Source organism: Homo sapiens, chromosome 6 (genome assembly GCF_000001405.40).
Source record: "Homo sapiens chromosome 6, GRCh38.p14 Primary Assembly".
Lineage (NCBI taxonomy): Eukaryota > Metazoa > Chordata > Mammalia > Primates > Hominidae > Homo > Homo sapiens.
The window spans coordinates 10,721,785-10,734,063 of record NC_000006.12 but is presented as its reverse complement, the minus strand read 5'-3'; the positions used below and the strand labels follow the sequence as shown (position 1 = coordinate 10,734,063).

The window sequence follows — 12,279 nt, the reverse complement described above, 5'->3', positions numbered from 1 at the left end:
TGTCCTTGTCTGTGAATTCCTCATAGACAACTCACAAAAGGAGTGCACGTCAACTGACTCGTGAATCAACTGACAAGACTCAGTTTAACTATTGGTTCCTTTGTGAAGCCTACCTTGACTCCCTAACAGAAATGCCCACTCCCCTCCTTGTGCCCCCACAGTAATATGGATCTACCTCCATTATACACTTATTTCTATACTGCCTTTGTTTAGATGTCCATCTCCTCCACTAGACTCCAGAAGGGCAAGCACCATGGCTTGTTCTTTGCACTGCTAGTGAGAGGTGAAGCCGGCTGCTCTCCAGGTCTGGTGGGGACTTGGAGAACTTTTTTGTCTAGCTAAAGCATTGTAAACACCCAATCAGTGCTCTGTGCCTAAAGGTTTGTAAACACACCAATCAGCACTCTGTAAAAACGCACCAATCAGCACTCTGTGTCTAGCTAAAGGTTTGTAAACGCCGGATCAGCACTCTGTAAAAATGGACCAATCAGCAGCATGTGGGCAGGGCCAAATTAGGGAATAAAACCTGGCAACCGGAGCCAACAGCAGCTTGGGTACTCTTCCCTCCTGTGGGTAGTTTGATCTTTATAATCTTGCTGATGCTCAGTTTTTGTGTCTGCTCTATGTTTATGAGCTGTAACACTCACCGTAGAAGTCTGTGGTTTTACTCCTGAAATCAGCAAGACCACGCACCCATGGGGAGGAACAAACAATTCCAGACGTGCCGCTTTTAAGAGTTGTAACACTCCGTGCGAAGGTCTGGCTTCACTCCTGAAGTCAGCGAACCCACTGGGAGGAAAGAACAACTCTGGGCACGCCACCTTTAAGAGCTGTAACACTGAAGGTTTGCGGCTTCACGCCTTAAGTCAGGGAGACTACAAAACCGCAAGGGAGTAATGAACTCTGGTCGCGCCACATTTAAAAGCTGTTAACACTCACAGCGAAGGTCTGCAGCTTCACTCCTGAAATCAGCGAGACCACGAACCCACCAGAAGAAAGACACTCCGGACTCACAATCTTTTAGGAACTGTAACACTTACTTCGAGGGTCTAAGGCTTCATTCTTGAAGTTGGCAACACCAAGAGTGTACTGGAAGGAACCAATTCCGGACCCACCAGGACCCAGTACAACCCTTAACGATAGTAAATATTCAGGGATTTTTGCAGAGAAGCAGGGACAAGGGGACTTGGCAAGAGCTATGAAGACCTCTTGCCTCTCATCTGTGGGCAGCCTTAGAATTTTCCAGGTTGATTGCTGGGGACCAAATAGTTACAGTCTACTTGGCACCTAAACTAATCCCACCTTCAGGGAACCTTGTCATTCAGGAGCCAGGTCCTCCTCTAGGACTGAAGGTGGCAAAAATGTGTGCCCTTTGGCAACACTGCATGACACATGAAAGGGCCAACATGATTCAAACTCTTAGCTATGGAAGCCTGGGAGGATGGTAGGTTTGGATGGTCTATGGCCTTCTGATGCCTCTATCACTCCAACACAAGTGCCCTTAGTTGTTCAGTGTCCTATAAAAAAGGATGGAAAACTAGGACCACTTTCAAGGGGCTTATGCAAATACATAAAGTGCCTGAATTAAACTCTGAAGCAGTAACAGGGTAGAGAACATGGTATGTTTTCCTTTTTAAAGACGGAATGAAAACTAAAGCAAGGGCTACCAGATTGAGTTAATTCTTCGTGTTGAAACGGTACCAGTATCCAGTTAATGTGTCCAACAAAGACACCAAACTAGGTGATTCAAGCTCTAGATGGGTTTTCTAGTTTCACATTTATGTATGAACTAATTACAACAAAAAAATCACCTTTTAATTTTGCTACACAATCCTAATTTTTTTTTTTTTTTTTTTTTTGAGATAGAGTCTCATCGCCCAGGCTGGAGTGCAGTGGCGCGGTCTTGGCTCACTGCAACCTCTGCCTCCCGGGTTGAAGTGATTCTCCTGCCTCAGCCTCTCTGGTAGCTGGGACTACAGGCGCCCGCCACCACACCTGGCTAATTTTTGTATTTTTAGTAGAGATGGGGTTTTAGCACATTGGCCATGCTGGTGTCGAACTCCTGACCTTGTGACCCGCCTGCCTCGGCTTCCCAAAGTGTGGGGATTACAGGCGTGAGCCACCGTGCCCAGCCCACAGTCCTAACTTTAGAAATCCTCAGTGGCTGCCGGGCATGGTGGCTCACACCTGTAATCCCAGCACTTTGGGAGGCTGAGGCAGTCGGATCACCTGAGGTCGGGAGTTTGAGATCAGGTTGACCAACATGGAAAACCTCGTCTCTACTAAAAATACAAAATTAGCCGGGCATGGTGGCGCATGCCTGTAATTCCAGGTACTTGGGAGGCTGAGGCAGGAGAATGGCTTGAACCCGGGAGGCAGAGGTTGCCTGGGCAACAAGAGCGAAACTCCGTTTCAAAAAAAAAAAAAAAAGAAGAAAACCTCAGTGGCCAGGTACAGTAGGTCATGCTTATTACTCCAGTACATTTTGGGAGGCCAAAGCGAGAGGATCACTTGAGACCAGGAGTTTGAGACCAGCCTGGGCAACAGAGCAAGACTGCATCTCCAAAAAAAAAAAAAGTACATTAGCTGGGTGTGGTGGTATGCACCAGTAGTACCAGCTATTCAGGAGGCTGAGGTGGGATGACTGAACCCAAGAGTTTGAGGCTACAGTGACATATGATTGCACCACTGCCCTCCAGCCTAGGCAACAGAGAAAGACCTTGTCTCTTGAAAAACAAAAAAAATCCTCAGAGGTCATTTTTGAAACAAGCTTCAATGCAATGTACAATCAAATAAGTTTCCTTGGTCCTTAAGTTATTCAAAATAGGTAATTTCTAAATATTAACAAAATACTTTCATGTTTCTATATCTTGCTGCTAGCAATATCTCATTCTATGAACTAGACAGCTCTGGCAATGAAGACCCCATAGGAAATATTATTTATAGTAAACTTTATTTTCATTGATATTTCACTTAACATAATTTCAAAGTCAGTCTGTGGTCTAAGATGAGCAAAAGAACAGATATTGTAAATCTCCTAAAAGACTTTTTTTCACACTGTTCCTCAGAGCAGGGAATGGGGTTTCAGAGCCCTGAAAGCTGACACCTAACATTTTACCCTTGAGATTTACCTACAGATACAGAAAGAAAAGACAACATCAATATACAAGAATCAAGCTCTATGAGGGTCTTATTAAGCTCTTGTGTTACATACTCGCCACCTCTGTAGGTTTGTAATCATGACTGATTTTCCACCTCTCTGCCAAGTTTGGTGTCTTTTTTTTTAGGTAAAATGTCAGATGCAAAAATGCTGCACTTATTTCTCTTAATATATTGAAAATAGTGGAAGATGCAGATTTTTAATTCTTCATCAGTCTAAGCTGGAACATGACTTCTGCTAATGGGGTCTGTTGAACATACTAACTCCAACTTTGGCGACCATCAGCAAACTGTTTAAAAGAAACAAGATAGAAAATGTCAGGTAAAGGACAGAACAGGCAACTATGTTTTTAAGGAACTAAACTGCTGGTTCCTCACAACTGCGTGGGGGAGGAGGTACTAAGGCAAGAGTGGTCAGGGGTAAATTTCCATCCCTGGAGGAACCAGAGAAAAAGCAAGCCAAGGGAGTCTTAAAATAGCACACATGAGCTGGATCCTAACCCAACTGCCAATAATTTGAAGAGATGAAGAAATGGAGGCAAGAGAGAGCAAGGCCTCCCCACCATCACAGATCTGATTAATGGTAGACTCTCCAGCGTCTCAGTTTACTGCTCTAGACCTTGCTCCACACTGACTTCCTTGCTTCAGGTATAAAACATTATACTGGTAGCATCACAACTATGATCAGAGTATGTAATCTTTCTCCAAAACAGATTTTTAAAAATTCCCCTACCTTCAGGATGTCTTTATGATACTTAACTAAATTTTTTGTTTTTGAGAAGGTTTTTTATTTTTATTTTTTCAGATGGAGTCTCACTCACCTCTGTTGCCCAGGCTGGAGTTCAGCAGCACAATTTCGGCTCACTGCAACCTCCGTCTCCCAGGTTCAAGAGATTTTCCTGACTCAGTGTCCCAAGTAGCTGTGATTACAGGTGTGCACCACCATGCCCGGCTAATTTTTGTATTTTTCATAGAGATGGGGTTTCACCATGTTGGGCAGACTGGTCTTGAACTCCTGACCTCAAGTGATCCGCCCGCTCTGGCCTCCCAAAGTGCTGGGATTGTAGGCATGAGCCACCACACCTGGCCTACAACTAAAGTTTTGTTTGTTTGTTTGTTTGTTTTTTGAGATGGAGTCTTGCTCTGTCCCCCAGGCTGGAGTGCAGTGGCATGATCTCAGCTCACTGTAATCTCCGCTTCCCAGGTTGAAGCAATTCTCCCTGCCCCAGCCTTCCGAGTAGCTGGGATTACAAGTGCCCACTACCATAACCAGCTAATTTTTGTATTTTTCATAGAGACGGGGTTTCGCAATGTTGGCCAGGATGGTCTTGAACCCCTGACATCAGGTGATCCGCCTGCCTCTGCCTCCCAAATTGCTGGGATTACAGGTGTGAACCACTGTGCCCAGCCACAACTAAATTTTTTAAAAACCACAATTTGGTTTAGGTTTTATAATCAAAATTAGAAAACAGGGCCAGCCGCAGTGGGTCACGCCTGTAATCCCAGCACTTTGGGAGGCCGAAGTGGGCGGATCACAAGATCAGGAGTTCCAGACCAGCCTGGCCAATGTGGTGAAACACCATCTCTACCAAAACAACAAAAATAGCTGGGCATGGTGGTGCACGCCTGTAATCCCAGCTACTCCGGAGGCTGAGGCATGAGAATCGCTTGAACCCGGGAGGCAGATGGTGATTGCAGTGAGCGGAGATCACGCCATTGCACTCCATCCTGGGTGACAGAGTGATACTCCGTCTCAATAACAACAACAAAAAATAGAAAACAGGATTCAATCAAAATTCTCTTTTAGCAAAATTTTCTGTAAAAGACATCTACACATCTAAGAAATATGGGGCCCCCAAATCTTCCATGCAAGTCACACAAAAGGCTGCAGTCATGGCTTTGCACTAAAACTTCTGCCACCATATAGGGAGGAGTTTGGATGGACTGGAAAGCAAATATGAGAACAAACCCATTTCCACGGTGAATGGATATACTCATGCCATTTTGACATTAAACTAGCTATTGTTTTTGAAACATTTCCTATTAGTGTATATATCAAATGTCAGTTGATACATAGCATCAGATATCCTGAAACAAGTAAGGTTTTGAATGCATAAGGTATCCTGGGGAATAAACTGAACTCTACATGGTAAAGAAGAGTAATAGAATGAAAGTACCTGGCACCTGCAATTAAACCTGCAGGCATGAATTTTCCAGAGTGGTAGAACCTCATTCCCATAATGCCAGCCAAGGTACCAGATGTAGCTGATGAAAAACATATAAAGAAGTGTTAAAACTCATTACATCTTCTACGCAGGGGAATCAGAAGTGGGCCAAGCCCCACCCATCTCTCAAGGCTCACGCCTCATCCTATGCTTATTCCTCTTTCCCCAAGTCGGGGAGACTACTGACTGCCCACATCCTATGGGTCCTAGTACCAATATTGGCCAAATAGGGCCCTTCACAGCCTGGGTCCTGCCTGCCCTTCCAGCTTCATCTCTTACCACTTGTCTTCTGCAAAACCCACACTTTAGCCATCAATATGTTAGTTTTCTCCAAAATGCTACTGTTTCTCACGCCCTGCAGACGCTACTTCCTCTACCCTGCACACAATTCCCACTGGGTATCTGTCGAAGCACCTACTACATGTCAAGTGCTGTGCTAGGAGCTGGAGAATACAAAGGTTATTGTAACTGTCTTTGCCCTTTTACAGTGCTTCAGGTCTGATGGGACAGACTTTAAAGACTCACACGAATAAAAAGGCTTAGACAAAAAAGTGAAGATTGGCTGAGATCTGAAATTACGCAGGAATTAATGAGCTGAAGGATGGGAAGGCCCATTCCAGGCAGAGGGGACAGTATATGCAGAGGCCCTGTGGTGACAGGGAGCATGGGACATTCACCCTAAAAGGGCAGCATGGCACAGAAGTCAAGATGCAGTTTGTGAGTAAGAGGTGCCAGACCACATGGAGCCTTGAAGGCCATACTGGGGTTTGGGTTTTCATCGTAAGAACAATGAGAAGCTATTAAAGGATGCTAAGCAGAAGGACACATGAACAGAGTCACATTTTTTTTTTTAATTTTTGAGACAGAGTCTTGATCTGTCGCCCAGGCTAGAGTGCAGTGGCGTGATCTTGGCTCACTGCAACCTCCACCTCCTGGGATCAAGCAATTCTCAAGTCTCAGCCTCCTGAGTAACTCGGACTACAGGCGTCCGCCACCACGCCTGGCTAATTTTTTTTTTAAATTAGAGACCGGGTTTCACCACGTTGCCTACGGTGGTCTCAAACTCCTGAGCTCAGGCAATCCACCCTCCTTGGCCTCCCAAACCTGAAGTCAGGAGTTACAGACCAGCCTGGACAACATGGCGAAACTCCTGTCTCTACTAAAAATAGAAAAATTAGCCGGGCATGTTGGTGGACGCCTGAATCCCAGCTACCTAGAAGGCTGAGATAGGAGAATTGCTTGAATCTGGGAGGTGGAGGTTGCAGTGAGCCAAGGTTGTGCCACTACACTCTGGCCTGGGCAATATGTGAGACTCCATCTCAAAAAAAGGGAAGTTTATGAAGGGGAAGGAGACAAGCACATCTGAATATCAATGCGGGGATCCACCTAAAAGGAGGAATACAAATACAAGACAGGATCCTGGCCAGTGTAAAGGTCTGGAGAAGATCAGGGAGAAGACACCCAAAGCCCAGAGGAAGACACTGGTGTTGGAGAGGAGGGAAACAGGACGAGGGGAGGCTTGGAGATTAAAGGCTCCAGGAGTCCCCACCTGATGGCTGCTGTTTTTTCCCTACAATAGGCGTGAGGTCATTTGCTGAGTAGAGTAGCATCAGAGAAAGGGAAAATGCAGGCTCAAGTCATTCTGGAGCATGAGGGAGGGAGCTGTTAGGCAGAGCTGGGACCTGGACACACCTCCTTCCCCAGCACACCCCATTAGCCATCACGGACCTCCCTTCCCCACCCCAGCTGATATGTACAGATCACATGGCTTCTCCCTCCCACATGGCACTCATTCTCACACGGGGTTTGTAGAGACCGCAAGGAACCCACACTCCTAGCAGTGTCTGACACATGGGTGGAGCCCCACAGAAATGTACTGAAAGCCACTCTGATAAGGAGGACTCTTCGGTCCCCCACACCACTCACTGTCCGTGCTGCTTACAGGGTACCTTTCCAGTCCTGCTTCTATGCCTATGTTTTTTGTTTTTTGACATGGAGTCTTGCTCTGTCGCCCAGGCTGGAGTGCAGTGGTGTGATCTCAGCTCAACTGCAATCTCTGCCTCCCAGGTTCAAGTGATTCTCCTGCCTCAGCCTCCCAAGTAGCTGGGACTACAGGCACCCGCCACCACCCCCAGCTAATTTTTGTATTTTTAGTAGAGATGGGGTTTCACCATGTTGGTCAGGCTGGTCTCGAACTTCTCACCTTGTAATCCACTTGCCTCGGCCTCCCAAAGTGCTGGGATTACAGGTGTGAGTCACTGCAGTCACATTTAGCTAACTGCTAAAGAGGTGATTTTCAAATGGGGAAATCGCAATTCAGATGCAAACCTAACCCAGACGTGTGATAGTTTAGTGATGCTGAAGCCAAAGGTCTTCAGTGGGCAACCTCAACGGTTGATACATTTGCCTGATAGAATTTTAATGCTACTGGGTAAATATAGTCACGAGCTATGAAAATCCTTCCATGTTCTGTATGTAAAAGATAAACAGAAACCAGCATAATTCCTGCCTCTGCACCCTCATTTTAAAACTTTCTGAGGACTTGGTAGAAGCAGTGAAATTGTCGTAAGTGAAGTGTGAAGAACTCACCCCATCCCACCAAACCAGGGTCTTTTGGAAAAGAGTATTCTGGATACATAGCTGCCCTAAGGAGACGCCAAAGCAGACATACCTAGGAAAACCCAAACGTTCCTTGGATCCTGAGACAGCTGGTAAGCACCCAGGCCGGCTAGACTGCCAAAGAGCAGCCCTGCAGCCAGGGACGGCACGCTGCCTAGAGGGAAGCAAACACAGCTTGCATTGTAATGTCAGGCACTTATTTCACTAACGGAATCCCCCAGACCGCTGCCCTACAAAGGAGGACAGCACAGAGAACTCTCAACACAGCTCATAGCCAAGGTGGACTCAAGCAGGAAGACGTTACAGAGAGTGTGCTATCTTCTCAGAGAAGTCAGGGTCTTCCCACCCCATTTTTCTCTCCTCTAATAGGCAGGGCACTTCCATCTAAGGAAAGGAAAGAAGGCCATCTTCCCTCCTTAGATGGAACTGTGGCTAGGCCTTCTTTCTAATCAGGCCTGATCAACCATGAAGGACTGGAATTGTGTACAGGCAGGACCTCCAGCAAATCACAAAAGGAGAAGGAGATAAGGCCAGTCAATTAAAAAAATACAAAGACCTGGAGAAGAAGAATTCTGGTGCAGGGGTTGGGGTGGGAATGCAGGCAAGGACTAGGGGGCAAACACAAGCACAGCCACTGACACACCCCTGCCTGGCCTAACGAGGAGAGTTCAAAATACCAGTCTGTGTAGGCCAGAGGTTTCCTCCTACTTGAGCCCAGAGATGGCACTTGGGGGTCGTGGCTGATGAATGGCAGTCAACGATAATAACAAACTACAACCGCCCCTGCCTATCTGTAGATAAAGAGGCAAAAACAAGTAATTCCAAAAGAGGCCTGGCTCAGCTTCACCAGATAACCAAAGGGCAAGGGCAGGAGCTGCAAGACTGACAAGGAAGCCTGCACTCCAGCTTGGGGACCCACAGCAAACCTGACTCAAATGAGATTGCTTCTCAGGGACACGGGCATTCACATTTCACTGGGACAACGTGAAGATGTTAAGAGGCTAAGTAACAACAAAACCCTACCTGCTTTTACATAGCCAATGATCCCACCAGAAGCAACCAGTGCTGCGTAGCCAAAGCCAAACCAATGCAAAGGCACTCTGAAAACACAAGAGGGAGAAGTCAGTGCTAACCTGGCTTTGAAAACAAACCATACTGTCATAGGATGGGACTAAAAGGTAATCATTCCCCACAGGTCCTATCACTGAAAATAAGGACCACAGAGGTTGGATGACTTTCTGAGAGTCACACAACTCAGCAAAGCCAGAGCTGGGACTCAAACCCAAGTTTCTGGCCCACAGGTCCAGTGATCCTCCCATCCCCCATGCCATCCCAGGCAGTCTACTCTTAAGGTTCTTTTCAGCTAAGGAAAGGAACTCTGGTTTCCAGAAGCTCCTGGCTACTCCATACCCATTTACTGCACTCACACTGAGCCAGTGTCCTGCATTTTTCTCTTCTCTGTCCAGACAGGAGACTACCCCAGGCCTGCACCTGCAGAAAACAAGCTGGATCAGAGGTAGTTAAAAGCACAGCTCTCCAGCAGTCAGAAAGAAGTGTGTCCAACCTGCAAGCTACGCAACCTAAGTCTCAGTATTCTTCACTGTACCATGAGGATAACACTGGTACCGATTTCCTGGGGCTGTAGTGAGCATTCAATGGATGTCACATGTAAAGGTGCTTAGCACCTAGTAAACCCTGAACAGATGCTGACCATTGTCATGAAAACCTCAGTTTTAATCACATAGGCCCACGGGAAACTCAGCAAGATCCACTGACCAGCTCTAAAATCAGGGAATGTGTTAGTCATTTCATCAGCTACCCATGTTATCACTAAATTCAAAAGCAAATACTCCCGTGCCCTTAATCCAACTACTTTAATGTCTCTTTTGAGGGGAGGTAGGGGTGTTGCTTTTCATCCCTGCTGCAACAGCCAATTTCAAAGCTCAACTTTTTTAGAAACTTCTGCGTCCAACTCACAGTTCTTGTTAGGAGGGCAGTAGTAGGAGAGGATAAAATATACGGAAACAGTGGTCATATTCACATGTGACACTACACCCTTGGAAAAACAGCTTCTATTTTCTTACAGAAAGTATCCTGTGTCCAGTGAGCCAAAAGATGAAAGCAATGCATACCCCGTTTATTCTGTTTAAAGAATTAGGCCAAGCGCAGTGGCTGACGCCTGTCATCCCAGTACTTTAGGAGGCCGAGGCGGGCGGATCACCTGGGGTTAGGAGTTCAAGACCAGCCTGGCCAACATAGTGAAACCCATTGTCTACTAAAAAATATAAAAAAATTAATCGCGCATGGTGATATGCGACTGTAAATCCCAGCTACTTGGGAGGCTGAAGTGGGAGGATGGCTTGAGCCCAGGAGGCAGAGGCTGCAATGAGACATATTCAGGCAACTGCACTCAAGCATGGGCGACAGAGCAAGTCCCTCCCTCAAGGACAAAAAAAAAAAAAAAAAGAATTAAGTTTCCATAAAACAGGGAAGGGCAGCGGGCTTGGGATCTTGCCCACAGTTCTTAACTCGAGACGGCACCGAGTAAGGGAGGCTTTTAAAGAGATGGAGCAAGAAAATCACCAAGAAACGAGGCAACACTATGCTACATGGGTAAGCCTTTGCCTCAGGAGCCCAGGGGCTCCGCGCATCCACAACTTCTTTTAAAAGCAGAAAATACCCAACGAGAAAAGCACCGACCACACGGCCTGAAGGCCCGCTGAATCGGGGGGACGAAAAGCAGACGGCCGTGAAACTCCTAAATAATCCCTAAAAGTTAAAAGTGGCAGAAAATAAGAATAATCCCCAAATACTCGCACCGGTCTCACGAAGGCCCCGGCTGTCTACAAGGGCGCGCAAGCCGCAGGAATGACTGCGAGGTGTCGCCGGAAATGCAGCGGCGGGCGCTCTCCGTCCCGGTGGCGGGGCGAGGAGAGGGGAGCGGCTCTGTTGTGCCTGCGCAGTGTACCGGGAGAGGGGCGGTCAGAGAATGGGGACGGTGCGGGCGGGGCTTGAGCCGCCAAGTAGCAGCATGCGCCCTGCATTCAGCGGGTGGAGAGTGGGGCGGGGCATCGCGGCGAGCTCCTGAGTCCAGGGAACGCGGCGGGGAATCTCTGTGCTTCCCCTGTCCGCAGCGCCTGCAGGGCCGACCAGTATCAGTCCCAGGTCCAATCCTGAGTGGCCAAAAGCAGGAGACCCGGAGTTGGACCTGGGACTTGCACAAGCCGGACCACGTGAGCTCGGCCACGCCAGAGGTGAGGCCACCGCTGCGGGACCAGGGAATCTGAGGCTGGATTTTGAAGGACCCCATTAATAGAGGAACAAGTTACAGGGTATAAACCAGATGCAGGCCATCAGGGAGGAGTGTCACTCAAGCCCGATCTTGTCTACACCAGGAAGGGCCTGCCTGGAAGAAAATACGGGGGCTGCAGAATAATGTGGCTCAAAGCCAAATATCCGTTTGTTTTAGGGAGTGAGGCTGCTTGAGAAGCATCTTAAAGGGGGATGGGGAGTAAGTTAAACCTGATTTTTACCCAGCTCTGTGGACCCAAAATATCCACAGCATATTATCTCCATTCCCACTTGGAGTCACTCCTATTCCGTTTCCTGCACCACCATTCTCTTAGTTGCTCTACACTAAAATTTGCTGTCATCGTTGACTTCTCCCTCTCCATCCCCTACAAGTATCAACATACACAAATCTGACCAATATAATTGTCAGTGAATAAAGCGAATTCCAGCCAAGTTTTTTTTTTTTTTATGTGGAGTCTCACTCTATTGCCCAGGCTGGAGTGCAGCGTATGATCTTGTCTCACCACTACCTCTGACTCCCATGTTCAACTGATTCTCCTGCCTCAGCTGCCTGAGTAGCTGGGATTATAGGCCTGTACCACCACCCCTGGCTGCCAGGCTAATTTTTGTTATTTTTAGTGGAGATAGTGAGAGATCACAACGTGCCAGTGTGTTCAAAATTGATGGCTTCTTGGTCTGACTTGAGAAAGCTGCAGACCCTCGCGATGAGTGTTAGTTCTTAAAAGCAGTGTCTCTAGAGTTTTTCTTCCGATGTTTAGAAGTATTCAGGGAGTTTTTCTGCTGGTGGGTTTGCTGTCTCACTGGCTCAACGAGCAAAGCTACAGACCTCTGTGGTGGATGTTAAAGCTCTTAAGGCAGTGTGTCTGGAATTGTTTGTTCTTCCCGGTGGGATCGTGGTCTCCCTAGCTTTGGACTGGCTCAAGGAGCAAAGCTACAGACTTCTATAACGAATGTTAAAGCTCTT

General features: G+C 47.2%; 1 protein-coding gene across 2 annotated transcripts, besides 6 other annotated features; it reads right to left on the bottom strand.

Annotated features, from left to right (window-relative positions):
- Window positions 1–2,936: 2,936 nt before the first annotated feature.
- On the bottom strand, window positions 2,937–10,994 carry TMEM14C (transmembrane protein 14C). Of its 2 annotated transcripts, none has more exons than NM_001165258.2 (6): window positions 10,823–10,994; window positions 9,431–9,508; window positions 9,027–9,103; window positions 8,056–8,157; window positions 5,337–5,424; window positions 2,937–3,449 (listed from the first exon to the last, which is right to left on the bottom strand). In NM_001165258.2, exons 2-6 carry the CDS (start codon window positions 9,448–9,450, stop codon window positions 3,398–3,400), a joined length of 339 nt encoding a protein of 112 aa, NP_001158730.1. In that variant the 5' UTR covers window positions 9,451–9,508; window positions 10,823–10,994; the 3' UTR covers window positions 2,937–3,397. The 2 variants fall into 2 exon arrangements, with proteins under 2 accessions (NP_001158730.1, NP_057546.1); NM_016462.4 differs by having other exon boundaries at window positions 9,431–9,494.
- Window positions 8,654–8,948: an enhancer, noted in NCBI's record as "tiled region #12108; K562 Activating DNase matched - State 5:Enh". NCBI's record gives its function as "activates a minimal TATA promoter and a strong SV40 promoter by Sharpr-MPRA in K562 cells {active_cell/tissue: K562}" and the evidence as "EXISTENCE:reporter gene assay evidence [ECO:0000049][PMID:27701403]".
- Window positions 8,654–9,005: a biological region, named in NCBI's record as "Sharpr-MPRA regulatory region 12108".
- Window positions 8,745–9,005: a silencer, noted in NCBI's record as "fragment chr6:10725292-10725552 (GRCh37/hg19 assembly coordinates)". NCBI's record gives its function as "represses an EF-1alpha promoter that drives an FKBP-Casp9 reporter gene in an ReSE screen in HepG2 liver carcinoma cells {active_cell/tissue: HepG2}" and the evidence as "EXISTENCE:reporter gene assay evidence [ECO:0000049][PMID:32094911]".
- Window positions 10,098–10,994: an enhancer, noted in NCBI's record as "H3K27ac hESC enhancer chr6:10723303-10724199 (GRCh37/hg19 assembly coordinates)". NCBI's record gives its function as "activates a minimal SCP1, AML or CMV promoter by ChIP-STARR-seq in naive H9 embryonic stem cells {active_cell/tissue: H9 hESC(naive)}" and the evidence as "EXISTENCE:reporter gene assay evidence [ECO:0000049][PMID:30033119]".
- Window positions 10,098–11,063: a biological region, named in NCBI's record as "H3K27ac hESC enhancer GRCh37_chr6:10723303-10724199".
- Window positions 10,934–11,063: a silencer, noted in NCBI's record as "silent region_16904". NCBI's record gives its function as "represses an Ori minimal core promoter by ATAC-STARR-seq in GM12878 lymphoblastoid cells {active_cell/tissue: GM12878}" and the evidence as "EXISTENCE:reporter gene assay evidence [ECO:0000049][PMID:35858748]".